This window comes from Homo sapiens, chromosome 6, assembly GCF_000001405.40.
Source record: "Homo sapiens chromosome 6, GRCh38.p14 Primary Assembly".
Taxonomy (NCBI): domain Eukaryota; kingdom Metazoa; phylum Chordata; class Mammalia; order Primates; family Hominidae; genus Homo; species Homo sapiens.
Genome location: NC_000006.12, coordinates 79799471 through 79824704, shown reverse-complemented (window position 1 = coordinate 79824704; position 25234 = coordinate 79799471). Strand labels below are relative to the sequence as shown.

The window sequence follows — 25234 nt, the reverse complement described above, 5'->3', positions numbered from 1 at the left end:
TATATTCAGTTATTATCTTAGGATAGATTACTAAAAGTGGAATCACTAGACTAAGAGATAAAAAATATTTAGGGTTGTTTTACATGTTGTCAAAGTCAGTGGAGCTTAAAAAGACTGAATAATTAAAAATTGATTACTGTGAATTTTTTATACCACAAGGAACAGTTCTTAGGGTAAAGGGATAAATTAAAATTTAGGAGAGAGTAAATATATGTAACATGATGGCAACATATTGCAATGCATGAGTCAGCCAAGAAAATGTGATTGAAGATTTCAGAGACCTTTGGGCTGCAGCCAGAGTGAGATTTCTTACGTGTTCTATACTAGGTTATTCTATTCCCAGGTGGACTCCCAGCCCCTCATCTGTCTTCACATGTTTATAAATGGAAACACTGGCTTTCCTCTACAGTTTCTATGATGTGTGGCCCTTTGCATAAGAGTAGCTATTTGAATGACAAACAGATATCACGCACTGAAGAAATTGAAGGTTTTAAATTATGAATTTTAGGTGTGTTTTAAACAGCAAGCTTCGGAAAAAATAAAGGAAACAAAAGCCCATTCTTCTTTTTATCACCACAATCACAAATCAACTCTTCCTCACTGTATCTGGCAATGTTTTGCAGTATATTAAGCCTTTGGGGTTAGAATAATGGTTTAGTTTGATTAATGAATAGGATTAGTTTAGGAAAAGATCAAGGTTGAAGGCATTGTTTATTACTAGATATATTTTGTTATGTAAATGGAAATGCAAATGAATTTTATGTTCCATATACCTGGGGTGCTGTGGAATCATTAATCATAGCTGTCTTCCCTACAGCTATGATTTCCAGCAAGTGCTAGCACTCCAGGTCTGCATAGCCCCCCAAAAAACATCTCATAGATAAAAAGAACATCATTCTCAACTCATGCTGATGCTAAAATTTTTCCAACATATTTTCCAACATATTTTCATTTAGTCTCCTAGGAAAGATCTTTTTCCAATTGTTTAGTGCAATGTTCTTTATTGCTAGCTACTAGGCTTCCGTCTTAGCTTAATGAAAGAAGAAGTTGGAAGATAAGTAATTTTTCACATAAGGAACAGCCTAGAAGCATATATGAATGGAAGCAATTTAGACCACATCCTTTCTTGTGATTTAGAGTAAAGTCTGGAAGACCCGGGTTGCTGTCTCTACAGCTGCTTCATGTTTTTTTCTTGATTGTTTATTTCTTAGATGAAGGAATCAATAAACGCGAATGGAATTCAAACGGAATAAATCTTACTGCCTGAATCACTCAATTCAGAGTAGCCTCCTGAGGATTTCACATTAAATGGTAGCCTTTTGTTCTATAAAAGAAAGTTAATTAACCTGTCTTGCAGCTTCTCAACAAATGTCTAATTTGTTCCCTGAATGTGCCTTATACAGAAGTAAAAATGGTTTGCCAGTTCCCAAGTTCGTGGAGTTCAGTAAAACTCTCCATAACCTTATATTTTTTAAATATATATTTGCCTTGAACAATCTTTTTAACCATTTCTTCAGGACCTTTTTTTTCCTTTCTTCACTTTTTCTAGGCCGAAGATGATTGATGACTCTTCAAGTATAAAAAGGCATTACTTATCATATCAATAGAGGCCATACATAGCAAATCTGTTGGTTCTTTGCCGGTTTTGCTGGGGTTAAAATATCCTGGTCTTAATGAAGTAAGTGACATTATTGTCCTAGTATTTGAAGTCTGAACAGAGATATTTTCTCTTTATGGTAATTCTAAAATTCATATTAAAAATAAAACACGAGAAAGTTTAAAACTAAAATGAAATGAAAAGAAAAAAATTTTAGAGATCAATCTTATTTTTTCTTTTCTTTCTTTCTTTCTTTCTTTTTTTTTTTTTGAGACAGAGTTATCTCAAAAAAAGAGTTGTCTTTTCGCCCAGGCTGGAGAGCAGGAGAGCAATGGTGCAATCTCGGCTCACTGCAACCTCTGCCTCCCGGGCTCAAGTGATTCTCCTGCCTCAGCCTAGAAGAAACGTTGGTCAATGCAGACATTTATAAAAGTTTATAAACATTTTCCCAAACAAAGCTGAAAATCTAGTACAAACACCGTCTTCCTAAGAGTTGTCTTCTGCCTGACTGAGATTTTGGTTGGGCACTGCTACTTACTGCTTCCCCAGGACAATCACTTACCTTAGTTTCAGAAAGTTTAGTAACCACAGGCTAGGTATAAGGAGTACTGGGGCTCCTAATGAGTGCATGTGTCTCCTCCTCTTCTCCCTCCAGCACCACAGAAGTCATGCCAGTTACTAATGTTCATCACTGAACTAGTAAATCCAGGACGGAGAGCACAAATACTTCCAATTGACAGACTTATTTCTATGGCTACAGTCCTTTTCCCAAAGGATTGAAAAATGAGTGTGAAGATATAATTAAGTCCAATGTTATCTAGTCTTTTACCCTTGATCCTGGATCCTAGATAAAGCCTGGGACTGTGGGAGCAAGAAAGAGCAGTGTTGGTGCCCTACAGCTTGAAGCTGTGTGATTACTTTTGCTTTCTCTGGCCTTATGATCTTACTTCAAGATGGTACCAGGTACTGCCAGGTGGACACTCGAAGCTGCACATGATATCTGTGTTTGAAGGCTGTCTAAATAGCCGGTCTCTTATCTTCTGCAGTCCCTCGGAATTCTGACTCAGAGGCCTGCTGAGTCAGAATTGTCTCTGGGATATCCATTGGACAAAACCAGTCCTAAAGGGGAAAACAAATGCAACATACAGAGACCATTAAAGAGAAAAACAAAAACAGAGAGCACATATATGAACAAATGGTAGCAGAGAAATAAAAATCCATGGGCAAGAACTGATTGGTTTACAACTCTTAGATGAACTTTTTATAAATAAAGAATGAGAGAAAGATAGCCCATGCTTATTTTTTAAAAACTTGAAATGAACCCAGAGGATCTTAAAGTTTATTGCTTAAAACATTGACACTAAAGTTTACATATTAATGCATTTATAATTAATATAAAAATGAGGGCTTAGTATTAACTAGGAATTTTTTTTAATGTTCTGCATGAGGCTCAACTGAGTTTCAAACAGATGCCAAAATATGTGCCATTTCCTTATTAAAAATAACATTGTTTAGCCTATTGACATCATTCATACAACTGATGAAGACCATTTGCTACTGGGTATGTTCTGGATACTGAGATATTGTATAATTTAGTGCAGGTATTTATCTTCATGCCATATGAGTCTAGACCATTTTCTCTTTATCTGCTTATTATTTTATTCCTTTCCATTAATATCATGATTTATGATATATGCTAAGAAGGTTAACTACTCCCAGTATTTCCCTGTTACTTGGCAATCTGGTAGTCTCCTTCCTCTGTCTGCCAGAGGCAAGGTACACCAGGAAGACAAGATTATTTTGATGTTCAGCAGTGGAAAGATGTATTTTCTGCATGAAAATTGCAACTCGCTTCTAACCAAGAAGAGTTTTTGTTTTATCTGCAGAGTTGTTCATGTTATCATTAACTATTAGAAAATGCCATTTATTGATGGTGACTTGTTGCATTTCATTCAGATTTTGTAAAACTTAAAGAAACATCAATTATTTGAGATGTCAAATGATAAAAATGTAGCTTTGTATATAAAAGTAACTGTGAATGCTTTCTAGGCTTGAACAATAAAATCCGTTCAATTGGTTGGGTACAGGGACTCACGCCTGTAATCCCAGTACTTTGGGAGGCCATGCTGAGCAGATCACTGGGCCCAGGAGTTTGAGGTCAGCCTGGGAAACATAGTGAGACTCTATCTTCGCAAAAAATACAAAAATTATCCAGGCATGGTGGTGCGCACCTGTAGTCCCAGCTACTCAGGAGGGTGAGGTGGGAAGATCACCTGAACCCGGGAAGGTCGAGGCTGCAGTGAGTCATGACCATGCCACTGCACTCCAGCCTGGGTGACAGAGTAAGACCATCTCTCAAAAAACCCCCGAAACTGTTAAATTATAGCAATCATAATTAATGATAGTTTTTTATTATATAGTGTAATAACAGTTGTAGAAATGTAGAAAATTCAGAACAGTACAAAGCAAAAATTACCTTTAATGTCATAGCCGAGGTCTGCATCTTCAAATATTGTAGGCTTGCCTTATGATATTTGCGACATTTATACATAACTTTTTAAAAATTGTGATCATACTGTGCATATGATTTTATAGATTCGTTGTAGAGTCAACATCTTCCCTTATTAAATATTCATCTAAAATATGATTATGAATAGTTATATAACAATTGAGCATGTGTTTGTACCATTATTTAATAATCTCCTACTAATACTTCCAGGGAATAAATAAAAAATATGAACTATTTTATACCTCATTCTAAGAAAATGTTTTACATAATTATGTGGGTTAGGAGTATAGTGATATATTAATATCTGGGTTATGTTTAGTTTTAATTCTTAATACATTAAGTATCAAAATAACTATCTCTATATCTCTGTGATTTCTTGGTTTCAGTATACTACACTAATATTTTTATGATTCGTCAGAATTTGTTCCAAGTACTATTAATTTTACTGTGGAGTTGGTGTTTAGTTTTTTCTTTTATAAAAGTATATTTTTTCTCTTTTATATATTATTCACAGTATAATATATAGTATATTAGATTATATTTTTCTTATGTGTATGTATTGTGTGTGTTTATATATGTATACACAATACACACATACACACACACACACACGTATATTTCCTGAGGAGGATAGGCGTGAGACTAGTTAAGCAATGCTTTAAATGTTTGTTTTGTTGATTTTTCTGTTTGTTGATGTTTTGTTTTTGTCTTTTCATAAGGAAGAGAATCTGCCATTTGAAGGTTCTCAGGTACATTTCTGCCTTCATTAGGATGGAGACCTCTGTCACTTTGATACAGGTGTCTTCCTTTGGGAAATTCAGTGGAGTGGTGTCCCTTTGATAATATAAACACAGTTAATTCTTGTTACTTGTGGTAGCTATGTTTTCTGAAGTCACCACAAATACTGAATTACCAAATACCGAACCATTGCTTCTAGGAGAAATACAGGATTAGATCCCTGAGAGTCTGGTCAAAACATTTTTGCAAAGTGACCAATACATGCTGTTCTTTTATGTGTGTTTCTGTTTAAAGACAACTTATTTAATATATATTGATTCAGTAACATTGAACTCATAGCCAATAACTCTATGACTCATGCCTGAAGTTTATCCAACATTTTTTTCTCCATAAGCTACATCATAGTCTTCTTGTGCTTAGCAATGCTAGACAGAACTTCATCACTGTGTTTGAGGGGCATTATAAACAGCAAAATCACCAAGAAAAGGCACAAAAATGAAAAAATGTGACACCAAATAGGATGCAAAAAGGACACTTATTTTCAGTATAAGAACTGAGACAAGAAGGCACAGTACTGCCTTGTTTGTTCTCAGCTGAAACATGTGACTCACGTGTTTGCTGCTCTGGGCATATCTGTGAATGACTGAGAAAGGTCCAGGAGTACTGATTTTGGGGTTACAAATAAATGTTATCCAGTAGAAAATTCACAAATATGAAATCTGGGAACAATGAGGATTGACTGTATTAGGAAAGAAGGTTCCCACTGACATACGGAAAGGGTTCGGTAAACTCCTCTGCGGTCTTACCCTTTAAATCTGCCTTTTCTAGTACTTCTTGGGATGCAGATCTAGTAATTAGAAAATTTGTGCATATTTACAAATTTCTTTGGCACAAAGAATTTTCTGGGCATAAAAGGATGGAGAAGTCCTTATTCTTTCCTTATTGTGGTGGAATATTATTCAACTTTATCTTATGGATGGCTAATGATTCCAATTGAGCTTCTCTGGCGGGAAATTTGAGTGGGGCTCCTGAAGAATTCATCATAGGGTTTTCTGAACTACTAATCTGTGCTCAATAGGGAACTCCTTGTTTGACATGGAAGAGGAGTCAGTTTTGAATAGAGTAGCTGAGTCTGGCCTTGTAACTGCAGAACCAGCTTAAACCTATGAACCATTGTTTAAGTTGTTACAGGTGGCACAGAGCCAAGACTGAAAGTCATGTAGCCCTGGCATGTGGAATGAGAGACAGCTTTAACCTTCTAGTTGTTAACACCACCAGCATGGCAGATTAGCTATACTGGAATCATCTGGGACTAGTTAGAGACGCTATAAAAGCTTACCCCACCTCCAGAGCGGGAGAAAGATTTGGGTTTTGGCTCTTGTCTCCTTGCCAGTCAACTTGCAATACAACTTTTTTTTTCTTTTTCCAAAAGCCAGTGCCATATTATTGGCTTCTATGTGTCGGCCAGTGAGGCCATTGCTCGGTGACAGCCTTTCTGATCTAGCCACCATAGTGTGGAGGCATCCATTGAGAATGATGACCATGTGAATGTAAACAAACTATGAGCCATAGCTGTGGCACCCAAGGTCATGGCATGATTTTTTCTGGAGTATAGCATTTAAGGGATGGGATTGTTCTTCCTAAATTAGCTATTATAATCTTTGAAGCCTTAAAAGCACCAGACTTCACTGAAGTCTCCTGGTATCCTTCTTGAATCACTGGCCAAGATTTCCTGCTTCTGCCCAAACAGATTTTGAGTACTCCTGAGGCTTGGTGCTGGTAACATCCATGATAATTGTTGCAGATTTATTTTCTCTTTTGGGAGGTGGGAGTTGTTTTCAGCAGAATCCATCAATTTTCTTAGATTTTTGTGTGATCTTACCTCCCCTTTCTCTGCTCAAACTTTAATTGTTTGAATGCCTGGAACATAACCTCGGGTCCATGTCTTCATGATTTCTTTCTCCCCAGTGATTCGGATCTAGGACTCTCAACTAGATCTAAACGGACTGATCTCTTCTCTTGTGTTCCCATCTCCACATAAAACTGCTTACTGTGCATCTTGGCTTAAATAAGGTATTTAAAACCAAAACTATCCAAATAAAACCTTATTTCTACAGTCTCCACTCACTCTTGTTTCTTTCCCTGTGTTTCTTATCTTAGTAAAAGGCATCACCATTCATCCAACTGCTCAAAACCAGAAAAATTGGGAGTTATCCTTGTTTCCTTTCTTTACTTCATGCATTGTTTCCAAATCCTCAGTAAGTTCTGTCATCCTGTGAAATGCGCCCAGAAGTATCCATTTCTCTGTATCCCCACTGCTAGTATCTTTTTTTTTTTGAGACAGAGTCTCGCTGTGTCGCCCAGGCTGGAGGGCAGCGGCCCCATCTCTGCTCACTGCAAGCTCCGCCTCCCAGGTTCACGCCATTCTCCTGCCTCAGCCTCCCCAGTAGCTGGGACTACAGGCGCCCGCCACTGCGCCAGGCTCATTTTTTTTTTTTTTTTTTTTTTTGTATTTTTAGTAGAGACGGGGTTTCACCGTGTTAGCCAGGATGGCCTCGATCTCCTGACCTCGTGATCCACCCGCCTCGGCCTCCCAAAGTGCTGGGATTGCAGGCCAGAGTCACCGCGCCCGGCCCCCACTGCTAGTATCTTAATCCCAACCGCCATGATTTCTTGCCAGGATGATCTCAATTGCCTCCTACTGGCTATTCTGCTTTCACTCCCTTGTGACTCCTTCTACCAGGTACACAAAAATGATTTTTAAAATGTTGGGTCATATTACTCCTGTTTCACTCTCCCCCTTTTTTTAAGAGACGGGTGTCTCACTCTGTCACCCTGGCTGGAGTGCAGTGGTGCAATTACAGCCTTAAACTCCTGGGCTCAAGGGATCCTTCCACCTCAGCCTTTTGAATAGTTGAGAGCACAGGCATGTGCTACCATGCCCTACTTTTTTTTTTTTTTTTTTTTTTTTTTTTTTTTTTGGTAGAGACAGGGTCTCCCTATGTTGCCCAGGCTGGCCTTGAACCCCTGGCCTCAAGCAATTCTCCTGCCTTGGCCTTCCAAAGTGCTGGAATTATAAGCATAAGCCATGGTCCCGGCTTTGGTTAAACTCTTCTAATGGATCAAATAAATTATTTAAATATTGCTTTCTCAGCAAGGCATTTTCTCATCACCTTTTCTAATGTTGTATGCCCCCTTCAGCACTGTTTATCACACTATCACTTTATCCTCTTTATCAACTCACTTCCATCAGTATGATCTTGTGTATTCTTGTTTATTTGTATATTGACTATTTCCTCCACTACAACATAAATGTAGCGTGCGTGCCTTTTTTTGTTCAGTAGAATATCACAATGCCTTAGCATAAGTCTGAGAAGGTAGTCGCTTTTAAACAGACAATTGCGAATTGGTGAAAGAAAATCTTTTAAGGAGTCTAATACACAGAAAAAGAGCTCAGAGCAAAGCTGTTCTGGTTTTATGGGAAGAACGGAGGGAACGGTTAGTTGTAATGGTAGACAGACCCTCACTCGAACCTTTCTTCTGGTTCCTCCTGAGGCTTCTCAGAGAACAACTTGAAAATCTGGAGCACTGTAGGGAGGGGAGAAGCCAGCAAGACAGAGCTGCCTTGGTCAATAATCTTTAAAATAGTTTTAAAACATCACTGCGATAAATCTGTTGTATTGGTCAGGGGTCTCTAGAGGGACAGAACTAATGGAATAGAGATATATACAAAGGAGAGTTTATTAAGTGTTAACTCACATGATCACAAGGTCCCACCATAGGCCATCTGCAGGCTGAGGAGCAAGGATAGCCAGTCCGATTTCTAAAACTGAAGAACTTGGAGTCTGATGTGCAAGGGCAGGAAGCAGCCACCACAAGAGAAAGATGTAGGCTGCGAGGCTAGGCCAGTCTCTCTTCAAATTTTTCTGTCTTCTTATACTTTAGCTGAGCTGGCAGCTGATTAGATTGTGCTCACCCAGATTAAGGGTGGGTCTGCCTTTCCCAGCCCACTGACTGGAATATTAATCTCCTGTGGCAGCACCCTCACAGACACACCCAGGAGCAATACTTTGTATCCCTCAATCCAATCAAGTTGACACTTAGTATTAACCATCACATTAGTAAAAATAGTAGCCAGGGTCTATTCATGGTTTTATACATTACTTGCAAAATGCCTTTCATTGACACGGAAGCCTCAAATAGTAACAAGCAAACAACTAAAAACTTCCTTTGCTGAGCCGAAACATCTTTGGTAAATAGTTTTGTGATAGGTATTTGAATGTTGCTTGGGAGGGCTATCAGCCAGGCCACTAGCAAACAAATCCTCAAGCCAACTAGGAAAGTCTCTAAAAGTGGGTAGGCAATAACATTGGGAAAACAAACTGTAAGCGTGGTACTGTTTTCTGGCATCAAGTTATTGGTTTTGTCACTGAAATAGTAAACAATTCACTTCCCAAGAAGTTGTCTGGTTTAGAAAATTGCATGTAATAAATTTCTTATTCTGAACATTAAGAAAGCAATAAATAATTTTAAGAAATTATTTTTTCCCATTATCCAAAAATATATAACAAATATTTTCTTTAAAAATATTGATTTGTAGGGCTACCTTTCCCAAAATATTCATACGTCTTGACCTTGCCTGGAATAAATGCATGATATTCTCAAGGGAATACATCTCATTTGACAAAGCCCACCACACTCCTCCAACCATAATGACGTGAATCCTGGACAGATGGCTAGACTCTCTCACAAGCCCCAAAGCTCTATTGAATTCTTGCCTTAATGAAAGAATAATTGCTTTAGACTGTAAACTTCCTGATTGCTCTAGTGGAGATGATACTTAGGATGAGAAATCAAATATTTTTCAAGGCATTTGATTTTTTTATATAGAACCAAATTTTAATTATTTAAAAATTATATTTAAATATTTTGAAATAATGTTTTCACTTAAGTATTACAACTCCAAGAATAGGACAACAGGTTTTGGAAAACAGACCTATGCCTTGTAAGCATAGGCACAATGCAAATGTTGATTTGTTGACAGCTGAAAGTAGGAAAAAAGAAGGAACCGAAAAAGGACCAATCCTTGGTATTAGTCAGGACTTTTTAGTACAAATTCAGAAACCTCATATCACACTAACATTTATTATTATAAAGGCATTTATTGGCTCATAACTGAAACACCCAGCAGTACACATGGCTTCAAACACAACTGGAATTGGGGGCACAAGGGATGTCACCAGGTTCAGTTTCTCTCTATCTCAGCTTTTCTTGCTCTATGGTGACTTGATTCCCAGCTCCGCTTTGCAGAGCTTAGACAGCTTCCAGGCTCACACTGTTTTTACCATTATCTGTGTGAGTGGAAAATAGTACCTGCCTCTTCCTGGACTGTATTAGTGAAAGTGTCAGTGGGTCTTACTGGCTTTCTCTGAGCCAGTCACTGCAGCCTGAGGAATATCACAGATCAGAAAGGACTGCTAAGATCTAGGAGAGTCCAACCATATGTAGGTCAAAGTTACAGGACAGGGACTAAGGTCCAGGGAAGAAGATCCAGTTCCTGCCCCACTGATAGAGGCAGCCTGAATTTGGGCAAGTTTCTTCATCTCTCTCAGCTTCATTTCTTCTTGGATAAAAATTCCTAGTTTATAATGTTTAGAGGATTAAATGAAATAAATAAAGCACCTAACAGAATAGTAGACTCTCAATACATTTTAAAGATGATTTAATTTTTATTCTATTTCTTTTCTGGCCTTTGAGTCCAGTCACTGCATAAGCATCAATGACCACTGTCGCCACTAGGTGGCAATCATGTGATGGAAGGTAATGGCCTGACTTTCTGGCCAGTGAAAAATTAAGAATTGGCTGAAACCTGACAATTGGCAGTGAGAGGAAAGCGTGGGGGACTGTGAGTCCAATTCCTGCTGCACTGAAACCACGCTGTGTGACCTTCATCAAGGTCTGAATTGATCTATAGCCTGGATTTCCTCAAGTAAAACTTGGAGGCCAATTCAGTCTTCATTTGTCTATAAAATCTTTTGAATCTGTAAAAAGAGAGTCTTATAGAGTAATAACTGTGACTGTAATCTCAAAAGCCAAAAACTGTTCAACAGTCTTGATTGTTAATATATAGCTTAAAAATATGATTGTATGAAGCATAATCCATTCATTTATTGCTAAGTTTTAGCTACCCCAGGGATCCAAAAAGAGTTCATGCAATTTTGTAAGGTGACTAATGGGCTCGCAGAGATGCTGTCAAGTTATACACAGCCCAGAAAATCATCCTCTGAGGCATGCAAGTCAGAAAACTCACTATTAAAAAAAGTCACACTGAGCAGCTTCAAAAGTATTTTTCCGCCATGTAATTATGTTTTAATGCTAGGTTCTTAAAATCACTTGGAAAAGAAGAAGCAGCTTAAAAAATTTCAGGTCTGAAATGTGTTAGAAGTATCTGGAGCAGCAGGAGGATGAATCAGGAAGTGACATTTAATTGGGTTTAAGAACAAAAATGATGACTCTCCACTTTTGCATGAATCAAGCCTTTATAACAAAGTTGAAATAAGATGATGTGATAAAAATTAGCATTTATCTGATATAATAGATTGGGGGGATATTGTATTTTCTTAATATGAAATTCTTTAGTATAAGGAAGTTATGTGCTGGTTCCATCTTGATTAGTATAAAAATCCTTGTAAAAGGAGAACCAATTGAAATTCCAGGGGTGTCCACACGTTTCTTCATTCCATGGAGATGTGGAACAGCCTAGTCTAAATACTTGACCTTTATTTCTCAGCATGCTTTTTTTTTAGGATAAAGCCTCCTGAATTCTTAAACCTGGAAGGTAGGGGCGAGGATTTGTTGGTGGCGTGTGGATCAAATGAGTTCAGGTTTTCTTTATCCTTTATAAATCTCAACTTTGCTTTACACAGTGCCTTATCAGAGGGGAGAGATCATTAAGGTATATATGTGGGGTTTTTTTATTTGTTATTTTTTTGCTGCTATAGAGGTATCTGAGAGAATGAGGACTGTTTTGCTTTTACCTCTCTATTTTTCCCTTCTCTATTTAAAGGAGGTAGCCAGAACCGTTGCCCTCTGGGTGGTTTGTTGTGAGGTCAGAGCAGAAAGCCCTGACCTTTAAGATTCCTTTAAGGCTTAAGATGCAGCATGCTGCCTGTGCCCCCAGTTTCTGATTCAGCAAGTCTGGGATGGAGTTCAAGAATCAAGAATTGGCCTATATATATAAACTTTAAGTTCTGGGATACATGTGCAGAACGTGCAGGTTTGTTACATAGGTATACACATGCCATGGTGGTTTGCTGCACCCATCAACCGTCATCTACATTAGGTATTTCTCCTTCTAACTGTAACTACGGGACCCACGTGCTGAGAACCACTGCATTAAGGTAACTGCTCCTCCTGGCCACCTGGAAACCTACCTCCCTTGCCTGAAACCTGAGCTCACTGAGAGGGCTGGCACGGGCGGGAATGGGTCAATGAGTTTGTCCAGGGAACATGGAAGCTTTTGAAATGGGAGGAAGGGACATTCCCAAAGCCCCTTTCTTGGCACTGCCCCCAGTCAAGCTGCTACTCAGGTGAGAATGCTGTTTGAAGGGAAGCAGCTTGGTGCAGAACCAGGAGAGCCAGCCGCCTCAGTTAGAGCCTCGGAATGAAGATTCAGAGCACTCTGGACCCACTGAGAGACTTGCTCATTTTCTGGGCACCAAATAATCCTCCCAATTTTTAGGTAAACCCAGGGAGGAGGGGAGGAAACAAATAATGAAGATTGAATTTCTTGCAATTCAGTGACATAGGGGATGGCAGCCATATTGAATTTGATTTGAAGAAAATAGGTATTTCCTGCCTACCCAACTTTTAGTAGATGCCACATCAACTACATGAATTTCTGGATTAAAACATACAATCTACATATATTAATATTTGTGGCCTTAATACAAGTTCTACCCTTGCCGTGGCTCTGTGTTCACTTGGCAGGGAGGGGCAGAGCTTATAAACTGAGCTGTGCAAATCTCACCCTTGTTCAACCATGTCTTGCTGAGCAGGCACATGGGGGCTGAAACCTAATCAGGCTGAGAGAAAAGGGTGACGTTTGCTAATTTTCTAATGTACCCACATAACTCCTGCATAATCTGACATCATATGAATATATCACACTTAAGGCATTTTCTCATTGACTTCTACGTGGTTTCTACTTTTCATTGCTATAACAAATATCCTAATACGTTTCTCCTGCACTTGTGGGTTTTTTTGAATTAGATACCTGAAATTTTGACTTGATTTTTTTTTTTCTTACAGAAATTCTGTCAATGGGACATGCATGTGAGTTTAGAAGCAATTCTTTCTTTAATATGCAGAGGCTTCTGGGAGTGCTCAGGCCATCAACCAAAGGTGTTCATTAGCCCATACAAGCTGCTTTCCTCAATTTCTAGATGAGATGTACTGTTATGAGAAAATGGAAGAAAAATTACAGGAGAACAAATAGGGAATTGCTAAGATATGTACATCTGTAGTGAGGAGAGGAGTTGGGGGCTTGGGGGCAGGGGTGAAATGCCTAGCGACTTAAATGACATAAGGCACTGATTTCTTGAGTGTTGAGTAAAGGGATGTTAGAAGATAGAAAATTGCCAAGGATTAGTTTGTAACTCAAAATTATAGCTCAGTCCAATCCCATTTCCCACTAAGAGGGGGAAACATCTTTGTCTCCCTCTTCTTTCCCCTCTCCCACAGGAGTAGCTGACTCCTCCCTGTTCCAGGACCCAGGGCTCAGGCTGACTTGTGTTAAGCTTCCATCTGGGTTAAACAGATTTCAGGAAGATCACGTGGAAAATTAAATGCCACCGCAGCATTGTTTCTATAGGAAATGAGTTTCTCTTTGCAAACAATTATTTGCTTTCGGTACACAACCACTTATCATAAGGAGGGAGCCTGTCTGTGCTTATAAAGCTTAAATTTGAAGGACTCCAGTTATCTTAATTTAAAATTAAAATAGCCTAATTTGAGAAGAAACCATGTTCTTAAATTTCCAATAGATGTTCCAATATGTATTTACTGCAATTTCTATGTTGGGGTGGTTTGTTGTCATTTTAAAAGTGAGGCTGGAACACTATAATATGTCCTGTCTTCTTTTTGCCTGTTAAACAAGGCGAGCTAGGGCAGCTTCTCAAAAGGCTCAAGAGGCACAGTCAGTGATCTCAGGCCACCCTGGATGGCGGGAGGCCACGAGAGGGGGCTTGCACCACCAGCTGCAGGGAATTGTTAAATTCCTGACCTAGTTTTTGAAACTATTCAAGGAGAAAGCAGGGACACAAATACTAGCTCTAGCCTCGTTCAATGAGACCACGTTCCTGTTTTCATTTCACTTTAGCCGCATTTGTTCGAGCAGCAGGTGAAGCGCCTTTCAAAAGACTGTCATCTCCAAGGGAAGTCATCTGTTTTACATTAATTGTCCATTAGTCTCCAAGCCTCGATCCATTAAAGTCCTCAGCCACTCATTACGTATATTGTGCAGGAGTCCTGCTGTCAGCTTTTCAATGCAGAGCTGTTTTTCTGCATCTGACTTAATTGCTCTAAGTGCCTGTTCCTTTGAGAGAGCCTAGAGTGTACCAATTAATGCTAACTTTTTCCTTGCTAGGTTGAACACATAAGCCATGGTGAGGCCAGTTCAGCTGCTATTTACTCGAATTTATTAGAGACCCTTCTGCCTTAAGCTCACACAGTGGGTAGTTTACATCAGTACTGCCCTGTTTGCCTGATGACTCCTGGATATGTTTTGAATGGACTTAATTTTCTATAGTGAAAATGCTCCATAAATTTACAATCTATCCATGTTATTTTGAAGAGGGGTTTAAATTCCATTTGCTCCTGATTAGTTTAAACATGTAATTTTTAAATGCATGTGGCATTCTAAACAACAGCTTGGATGAAATTGACTTTGTTGATGGAAAAATTAAGCTTTCATCCTTTCAAATGACAGCTCGAGGGGTGGCCGTACAATAATTTAATTACCGTAGCTTCCTTAATTACAGCCGACTCACCTACCTTTAGCTCCATTACCGTTTTCCTTAATAAACACGAATAAATGGACGAAAAACAAAAATTAAGAAAACCAATCTTAGAGTAGCTTTTATAAAATTTTGATAGGCATAGAGGCAAATACAAATATGTGAGACTCAGAGAAACATATTAACCCCTTCAACTCTAAAAGAACTAGAAAAACCACAATTTTGTTTTTTTCTTTTTAAAATTGTACCATAGTCCCACTTATTAATACTAAATTTTATATTTTATTAATATTCAAAATATCCAATCAATATAAATTCCTGTCAAGATGGTAATATATCTATAAATTCAGATTCTGAGTAATGACCTGATATTAATTGAATTTATTGCAGGTTTTTAAATCTTTACTACAGTTTAATTCCATCCTATAACTAAGTTTGTTAACAAATGGCCCTGTTAATATATAATTAAGTACCTGTGTATTGATTTGCTTAATTACATCTAAACAATACCAAAAAATAAAAACCACACAGATGCACCCAGACTGATTTAAATTGCAGGATATCATGAAAATTAAAGACAGACTTCTGTGTCTTATTTCCTGAGGATTGTTGGGGAAATATGCACTTTTGGCATAAGCAAACTACTTAGAACAAAAATAGCAACCATTCTGGGAAACATTTACATTAGGTGAAATCTGTCTCTGAGGCTGTCTGCCTTCCACCCAAGAGCTCCCTGACATGGCAGCGTCCCCTCTCCTCTCTATTCTCTCACCTTCCTCAGCTGGAGGCCAGTCGTGTATCTCATGTCACATGGCCCTGGTTAGTAACAAGGCATTATTAGCAAAGACAGCTATTTAGAGGTAGGGTTTTGAACTCTCTGAGGATTATCATTTTCTTCATCTTCACTATCTTCATCCTCATCTTCAATCAACAGTTTTGAGAGCAGACTGTGTACAGAGCACAGAGAGCCACTGAAGTTGTTCCCCTCTCCCCAAAATAGTAACCTTTATCATCTAGATGAATGAGCTCCTCTGATAAATTCTACAAGTATTGTTTCTGCTTCATGGGCATTGAGAGTGGCCTCCTCCATCTTTACAGAAGGAAATTATCACCTCCAAGTTAGACTAGTTTATTCCTAGAAAATTCCTTCAATACCCCCTCATCTGTAGGATATTCATTTAAAAATCCTATCAGCTTTTTTTCTCAACAGTTTTCAGGAAGAGAGCTTTGGAAAATACTAAAATATCAGTCTAACAAATTCAAAGACATATATTAGGGCCTTTAAAACCTCATACACTTCCCCTTGGCCTCCCGGATAATGCTCCTTAATCCTAATTAGCTTTTACAGCATGATTAGTGTTTGCCAATGATGATTAGAGGTGCCAAATTCACCAAACCAATTAGTAGCAGAATTGTAGGATCCTGGTGCGGCTTTATTTTGATTCTGATTCACCTTTTACATCATCTTTGTCGTTGCCTCATTTGTCCAAGGTAGCAATGCTTCTATATTTCTGTGTTCTCATTTTGACTGTAGTGTTTTGATTGAGAGTCTGGAATGTTGTTCACACAAGGGGAATCTTGCCCAAAAGAATATTACTTCTAAGGTCTTCACTCAGGAGTTTAGTCATGTACTTGTGCTGCCTTTGTATTAAAACTCTTTGTATTAAAACCCTTCTGATTATGGTTGAATCTGTTCCCCACCTCTGACAGATACACCATAGGGTGACCCCTAATGAGTCATGCTCTTAATCCCCTTGCCATGAATGTGGGTGGAAATCATAACTTGCTTTTAACCATAAGATACAACAAAAGTAAGGAAATACCACTCCTGTAATTATATTTATGGCAAAGTCGAAGGGACTTTTTTCAGGTATAATTAAGATCCCTAATCAAGTGACTTTTAGTTAAACAAAAGAGCATTTACCCTCAGTGGGCCTGGCCAAATCAGTGAGCTTTTTAAAAGAGGGTCCAGGCCCTCCCTGAAGTTCGAGACCTGAAGCAGTAAAGACTCTTATTTCTGTTGCTGGCTTTGAAGAAGCAAGCTGCCATTAATTCTACAGTCATAAAGACATGAATTCTGCCAACAACCTGCAGGAGCTTAGAAGCAGATCCTAGCATTTCCATTGCATCCTCCAGATGAGAATGCAATCCACCTTGATTTCAGCCCTGTGAGACCCTGAGCAGAGAACCCAGTTATGACATGCCCAGATTCCTGACCCACAAAAACTGTGAGATAACAAATGGGTATGGTTTTTAGGCCATCAAATGTGTGATTATTTATTATGCAGCAATAGGAAATTGATGCACCACTCTTGCAATAAAGATACTTTGTTTTATTATCCAGTATCCCATATATCGTTTTTAAATAAGTAGATCATTATACATGAACTCCACACAAGGGCTTCTTATACTTTGTTGTTAGAAAACTTACCCAAGTCACATCTCAGGCTCTAGAGATGACTTACCATCTAACCCTTATGTTTCCTATCGACTTTACTGTTAGATAAACTAGAAGATTTGGTGCCCAGCATGAAGAATAGTTCCTTTCAAGTACCTGTATGTCCTGAATGTATTCCTTCCAGTGGGTTCTTGGTCTCGCTGACTTCAAGAATGAAGCCTTGGACCCTCGTGGTGAGTGTTACAGTTCTTAAAGATGGTGTATCTGGAGTTTGTTCCTTCAGATGTTCAGATGTGTCCAGAGTTTCTCCATTCCAGTGGGTTCGTGGTCTCGCTGACTTCAGGAGTGAAATCGCAGACCTTTGCAGTGAGTGTTATAGCTCTTAAAGGTAGTGCAGACCCAAAGAGTGAGCAGCAGCAAGATTTATTGGAAAGAGCAAAAGAACAAAGCCTCCACAGCATGGAAGGGGACCGGAGCGGGTTACCTCTGCTGGCTTGGGTGGCCAGCTTTTATTCCCTTATTTGGCCCCGCCCATGTCCTGCTGATTGGTCCATTTTACAGGGTGCCGATTGGTCCATTTTGCAGAGTGCTGATTGGTCCATTTTACAAAGTGCTGACTGGTGCATTTACAATCCTTTAGCTAGACATGGAGTGCTGATTGGTGCGTTTTTACAGAGTGCTGATTGGTGTATTTACAATCCTTTAGCTAGATAGAGAGCACTGATTGGTGTATTTACAATCTTTTAGCTAGATACAGAGCACTGATTGGTGCATTTTTACAGAGTGCTGATTGGTGCATTTACAATCCTCTAGATAGAAAAGTTCTCCAAGTCCCCATTCGACCCAGGAAGTCCAGCTGGCTTCACCTCTCACCTGGACACATCTGTCCTTTGGCTACCTTTACATCAGTGGTTCTTTCACATTTTGGTCTCAGGGTTTCTTTACATCAAAAATAATTGAGGACCCAAAGAAACTGTGTTTATTTGAGTAATGTTTATCATCTACTACATTAGAAATTAAAATGGGATGAATTTTAAATCATGAGAATGCACAGGCACACATTCCGTTAGCAGTCAATAACATCATCACTCAGCATGGGAAAACCCACGGGTTGCTTGTGAAAGAGTGAAAGGAAAACACGAGGTAACATCATAGTATTATTACAAATTGACCTTGCAGATCTGAAGGGTCTTGGGAACCCCTGGAAATCACACTTTGAGACCACATCTTGAAAACCATTGCTTTATGTTTTTAGCATTTTTTGTTTTATATTGCATTAAATTTTATTAAGCCAACTTACATAAGTTTATAAAATATGAGGTAAACTTTTTTTAAAAAATGAAAAAGGCAAAATACTAGCTATGTAATTGTGCTGTTTATTCCCCACCTGCCCCACAGATATGTGCTCACCCTTCTCTGCTCAGCTCTGTGCCTGGGAGGCTGACCTCTACAAACTGCATCACCAGGCTTCCGCCCTCTGGCTTCCAGATGGATTTGGCCAATGGGCAGCACCAGTGGGAAAGGAGAGGACAGGAGGAGAGACAGGCTGAGGTCATGTATTTATCCCCCTCTTCCCTACCCCATGACAGTTCTGACAGGCAGCCCCTCCGTTTCTCCAGCTCTCAGCTGAGCTCCAGTAACAAGCTTCCTTCTCTTTCCCCTTTAGGGTTGGGGTGGCAAGAGCCACCACCTGGGTGTCTCACTATATCTTGTTGGCTTCCCTAATCCTGCCTACATTAATCATTTTTTTTAAATTTCAAACTCTCTTGATGCTTCCATTTGTTTCCCGAGGAATCCTGGCTAATGGAGCAAGCTTGGACACATTCCTTCATTTCACAGGTCCTCAGTTTATTTAGCTGTAAAATGAAGGGCCTGAGCAGCCTTTCCCAAAGTGGATTCTGCACATCAGTCTCACCATATTCCATTTTGTATTCTGTGGTCAAATATGTTTGGGGAACACTGAATATAATGTCCCCTTTTGGAGAGCCACAATTTGTGGCACCGTGTCAACAACTCTGAGAGGTCCTGAAGTAGATACACCTGTTTTACCCTGTTTAGTTCAGCATTTCCCAAATATAGTTAACAATGGAACCACTGTTTTTTGCTTGTTTGCTTTTGCAGAAAACCCTAATAACATAGAGAAAACACCAGATCAAGTTGGGCCATGTATGGCATTGTCTTATTCTGTGGAAAGGTATTCATTGCATATTTTTGAATATTTTCTGTTGGCCCCTCAATCCTGAAGTCTAAAATTTCCCACCCATGTGGCTCAGCTTGCTCTAGGCACAATAATGGAATTCTATTTCTGTGACCTCAATACAATGTTGAGCTTCTCTTCTGACCATGACTTTGTCGTGGTAAAGAAGTATCCCTCTAATTAAGATCAGGATTGAAAATAGAATTCCAGGAATAGTTGAATACACAATACACATTTACATACAGCACAATTGCATCCAAGCCCCGTGGAGTGTGGTGGTGCAAAGTAAGGTGTGAATCCCACTGAAACTTTCTGAAAGTGTGTGGTTGTCATGAACAACACTGACAAATCTGAGGCCCTCCTTGCTTCCTGTTACAATAAGTAACTACCTTTTCTTCTTTTTCTTTTGGAGACAGATTGGAGTGCAGTGGCATGATCTCAGCTCACCGTAGCCTTGACCTCCCAGGCTCAAGAGATCCTCTCACCTCAGCCTCCTGAGTAGCTGGGACTACAGGCACATACCAAATGCCCAGAAAATTTTTTTCTTGTGAGGGCTGGTGGGTAGAGCCTGGGTCTCTCACTATATTGCCTGGGCTGGTCTTGAACTCCTGGGCTCAAATAATCCTCCTGCCTTGGCCTTCCAAAATGCTGAGATTATAGACGTGAGCCACTGTGCGCAGCCAGTAACTACCATTTTGATCAGATCATTTCTAGAGAAATATATATCCCCTCCTGATTTTCTATTGTCAAAGCCCCAGTATCAGGCACTCATCTCTTTCCAATGTGGCACAAAGCAGGGGGCTTACCCCACTTCCAGGGCTGAATCCTGGCTGAACTAAGCCCATTTGTATGACCCCATTCTCTTTCCAATAATAGGTTTAGGAGTGGGCTTGTGACTCATTTCTAGCCAGTGGGACATGCAAGAGAGGTGGAATGCTGGGAGTTTAGAGGGAGAGTTTTCTCTGTTTCTGAAAATACAAACACCAGAAACCATGCTCCCTTTTTGGCACCCAATGGTATTTTGTTTCTAGATGTGTTACTTAGGAATGTGGCAGCTGTCTTGCCTCCACAGGGAGGACAGCATCAAAATAGAACTGATGCTGAGGACAGCAGAGGAGAGGACAAGACAAACCTGGGTGGATGGCATCATGGGGCCTCTGATTGTTCCTGCATCCATTCCATGTGGTTTAAGCCAGTTGAGTCAGCATTTTCTGTCTTGAATCCCAGATCTTTATAAATGATAGGTGTACCTTTTAATGGAACTATTCATGGCCTCAAATTCTTCCCAGATATACCCTGTGAGTGTTCAGGAAGCAGCAGAAAATTAAACACTACATTTCTTCATTCACAGGCCTCCCTCCTCCTGTGTCCCTGACATACAGTGACAGTGCTGCCCTGCAGCTCAGGATGGATGCAGTCAAGGACGACAGCGCATGTCCAAAAAAGCTGTCTGCTGAACATTTGCCCAGCAGATTTTAGAAAGAAAGGAAACATCTTAGTGATTTTCTTGCCTCCAGAAGATTCCCTGATCCAATCTTTCCTTGGCACAAACTTTTAGTTATTGTGTTTACATATACATTTTATATATGTGTGGTCATTATTGTATCTGTTTTATTTGGGGACTTTATCTTGATGTGTGTTATACCTAATACACTGCAATATAAATTATGTAATTATGTGCTTTTTTTTTTTGAGATGGAGTCTCGTTCTGTCACCCATGCTGGAGTGCAGTGGTGTGATCTCGGCTCACTGCAACCTCCACCTTCTGGGTTCAAGTGATTCTGCTGCTTCTGCGTCTCAAGTAGCTGGGACTACAGGCGCCTGCCACCACACTCAGCTAATTTTTTTTTTTTTTTTTTAAGTAGAGGTGGGGCTTCACCATGTTGGCCAGGCTGCTTTCGAACTCCTGACGTCAGGTGATCCACCCACCTCAGCCTCACAAAGTCCTGGATTACAGGCATGAGCCACCACACCCGCCCTGTGCTTTCAATAAGTACTTTCTCACTGCTTACTGACTGATACCCCTAGCTTTTGTATCATGAGGAAAAAGAGGCATAAGAGAATGAATCCCTGGCCCCAGTATCAGTCAGGATTTAATCAGAAAACAGAAGTCATGCTAGGTTTTTGATGAGTTGGAGAGAGTTGAAAGAGGAATTAAGGCTTGCACAACCATTAGAAGGGCTGGGTAAGGAAAGGTCAGACGGTTGCTCTTAGGGCATCTGAAATGCAGAGATCTCAAGAGAAATTGGGGCTTCTGTTGTGATCAAGTTGCCCATAGCAGGTGCTTCTCAGCAGGACCCTGAGAAGCTGAGGCTCTGAGTAACCGCCTGTAGCTGGCACTAAAGAAAAATGGCTTCTCCTTTTCTGCCTCAGATGTTTCACGGGGGTGCCTCTCACTGGACAAATGTAACCTCGAGGCACATAGGAAAAGAACTGGGTAGTGAGGTTTCTGGTTTTCCTCCAAGATGGAGAAGAGTGGAGGGCTGGGGAGCATGAGTCACAATGAAGTTGAACTATCAACAGACCACCCAGAAACAAAACCTCCCATATATTAATGAAAAATAAAAAAAGCAAACAGCAATTGATAAACAAATGTATTTAAGTTATACCAAGGGCAAGATTGCTCTGTCAAAAAGCATTTGATAATCAGTTAATTGGTGAGTGTCTGCTATGCAGAATTAGAGGCAGTTATTTTTTTGTTTGTTTGTTTTTGTTTTAGATTATTTCTTGCTCAAAACTCACTCAGGTTCCTGGGCTATAATACTTGAGCCAGACAGAGCAGCTTTGATCTCACTGGCAGTTTGTTTAGAAGCCTGAGATCTGGAGTGGCTTTCTAAAATCTTCAGCTCTAAAAACCAATACAGTTTAGTAAAAATCTATACATTTGCTTGCAATAGTCTCAAGTACATAGTAAAATGACAGAAATGATTTCAACCAAGAAATTAGCCATTTTCTTCCTCTTGATTTAAGAAGGGAGAAATAGCTTTGGAGGGAAGTGGCAATATTTCTAAATTTACACACAAATTCACACCGACAGTATGCTCCTAATGGTTGCCACATTTAGAGCTAACCTGGTTTTCTGAGATTGATCTGGGATGGAAGGAGAAAGAACAGCTAACTGACCGGAAGCTAAACGCCACAAGGCAAAGCCTCTTTGTTAGAAGCTGAAGATTATCATATTTCTAGGGGAGGCTGGATGCTTTGGTTAAGAGAGACCTAGTTATGAATCCAGCCTTCTAAAGACCTCCAGGGAGAACTCTGCAAGTCTCCTCAGGGCAGGGGTTCTGGGAGTTTCTAGGTTCTTGCAATTCCTGCAAGCAAACACATCAACACACAAAAAAGCACTGGGAATTCAGAGTCCCAGAGAAGGACATTTGGGTACATCCCTCAAGGTTAAAATTTGCTGGAAACTTTGATAAGATATTTGGATGTGGAGAAGACTGGGGAAGTGTTAAGTAAAGGAATATGAAGTTGGGAGTCAATTATTCATTATTTTCCCTATTCCTCTCACCCATTAGCATCAATAATTGAAAAAGAACCATCCATGTGTGTATGGGGAAGGCAGTAGGCTTAGAGGCTGCTAATAACAATTTAGTAAATGAGGCCAAAAATGGGGCTCTGCAGGCAACAAGCTTGACTGGGTAGAGCCAGGCCACCTCAAAGCTGAGGCTTTAACCACCATGGCCTGCCATCTGCAGCACATGACTCACTGCATCTTTAAGCAAGACTTTGCCCAAATAAGTACCTTCCACTTTGGTTCTATATTGCTGCCACCAGTGTAACTACTCTGCTGCCTTTCCTAGGGGTGGGGACAAGCTACCTCCTTGAGTTTGAGGCTTGAGCCTACCTTTGTACCTGTGGTCCTTAAGAGGTGCTGTCCTTCTCATTTAGCTCATACAAAGTGACTCGGGCATCCTGCAGCATCCCTGTACAGGTATCAGCCCAGTCCACACTGCTAATTGCACCCATTTTCTTCAAAGTCCATCTGTTTACTTAAGCATGTTGGTGCTCATGCTCAATGTGCAAGGTAATATAGATTGATATGGATTCTTTGGGATTTTTAGTTAAGTGGTTTCTGCTTGTGACATTCTTTCCTTTTTTCTTTCTTTCTTTCTTTTTTTTGAGACGGAGTCTCTGTCGCCAGGCTGGAGTGCAGTGGCATGATCTCAGCTAGGCTCACTGCAACCTCCGTCTCCCGGGTTCAAGCAATTCTCCTGCCTCAGCCTCCCATGTAGCTGGGATTACAGGCGCATGCCACCATGCCCAGCTAGTTTTTTTGTATTTTTTTTTTAGTAGAGACGGGGTTTCACCATATTGGTCAGGCTGGTCTTGAACTCCTGACCTTGTGATCTGCCCGCCTCGGCCTCCCAAAGTGCTGGGATTACAGGCATGAGCCACCACGCCTGACCTGCTTGTGACATTATTTTCTGCCTTTTAAATACAAATAGAAGTATACAAAAGCATATACCTCAGTGCTTCAGGGAGAAAAGTGTGTTAGATAAATAGACTACCTGTAAGGAAGACTTAGTATAATGACAAGCATGACTGCTTGGTATATTCAGAATTTTGATGTGTGACAAATAATGTGTGTCATTCTTTGAAATATAAATGTTAGAGCTTCTTATGTTAAAAGAAGCCATCCTAACCAAATAATACTCTAGGCTTTCAGTGTACCTATAAACATGTTCATCTGGTGGGAATTAAGAGATATGCCAAAAAACAGATTTGAATTTGAGCAAAAGAATAGCAATACATTAACTGCTATATTATAGAGTTTGTAAAGATTGCTATAGTGATTATCAGTGCTTCACGGTGTCATTATTGGCTTCACTATTAAAGATATTGCTGTGAAAATGAAAATTTGTAAATATGAATTTTTGTGTTATATTTTATTTTCTATTTTCACATCTGGCAATTGGTACATGTTGTGTGACCTGCAGAGCTATTAAGTCCTGGGGTTATTGATTAAGGCCCCAAATGAGTGACAAATCTTAGAGCATAAAGACTGTTTCGACCAGGTGCAGTGGCTCAAGCCTATAATCCCAGCACTTTGAGAGGCTGAGGCAGGCGGATCACCTGAGGTCTGGAGTTCAAGACCAGCCTGACCGACATGGAGAAACCCTGTCTCTACTAAAATACAAAATTAGCCAGGCATGGTGTTGCATGCCTATAATCCCAGCTACTCAGGAGGGCTGAGGCAGGAGAATCGCTTGAACCCGGGAGGTGGAGGTTGCAGTGAGCCAAGATCGCACCATTGCACACCAGCCTGGGCAACAAGAGTGAAACTCCATCTCAAAAAACAAAACAAAAACTGTTTCGTGAACATGGGACACTCTTGTAACTCCATCCTACTCATTCAAATACAGGCCATCACCCATGAAAATAAAAAGAAAATAAAAGGTGAATAGCACTGTGCAAAGACAATTGGGCTATGTGTGAAGCAACACATATAAGCATCATTTCTGTGTGCTTAGGATAATGCAAAAGGCATTGATCAAAGTAAAATGATCATAAGAAAACATAGGCTATGTGTCTGCTCAGCTCCCTCAGTAACCACTCAGGAATCAGCCTTTCATTCTGGAATCCTGGCTGCCATTTACAGAGTGCTCGTGCCACTATATTCCAGGTGCTATGCTGAGTGCTTTGCCTGAGGTGCTTAGGGGACTCTTGCATCACCTGGGTAGTGGTTAAAGTGAACTCAGGTGGTCTTGGCTTCAATACTGGCCCCACCAAGTGCTCCTGTGTGATATTATGCATATTATACACTATCTGTTCTTCA

General features: G+C 39.9%; 1 long non-coding RNA gene across 1 annotated transcript, besides 2 other annotated features; it reads left to right on the top strand.

Moving 5' to 3' along the window:
* Positions 1 to 12458: 12458 nt before the first annotated feature.
* Positions 12459 to 21122, top strand: LINC01621 (long intergenic non-protein coding RNA 1621). The gene is made up of 5 exons (NR_131786.1): positions 12459 to 12585; positions 13155 to 13178; positions 17364 to 17491; positions 18657 to 18809; positions 20807 to 21122. It is a non-coding gene; the product is annotated as a long intergenic non-protein coding RNA 1621 (long non-coding RNA).
* Positions 17034 to 18233: an enhancer, noted in NCBI's record as "BRD4-independent group 4 enhancer chr6:80516189-80517388 (GRCh37/hg19 assembly coordinates)". NCBI's record gives its function as "activates an origin of replication core promoter dependent on BRD2, P300/CBP, MED14 and CDK7 cofactors, and independent of BRD4, by STARR-seq in HCT116 cells {active_cell/tissue: HCT116}" and the evidence as "EXISTENCE:reporter gene assay evidence [ECO:0000049][PMID:35650434]".
* Positions 23340 to 23509: an enhancer, noted in NCBI's record as "experimental_95971 CRE fragment used in MPRA reporter constructs". NCBI's record gives its function as "activates a minimal promoter by MPRAs in K562 erythroleukemia cells, with activity observed for the non-introgressed 6:80510998 variant allele {active_cell/tissue: K562}" and the evidence as "EXISTENCE:reporter gene assay evidence [ECO:0000049][PMID:34662402]".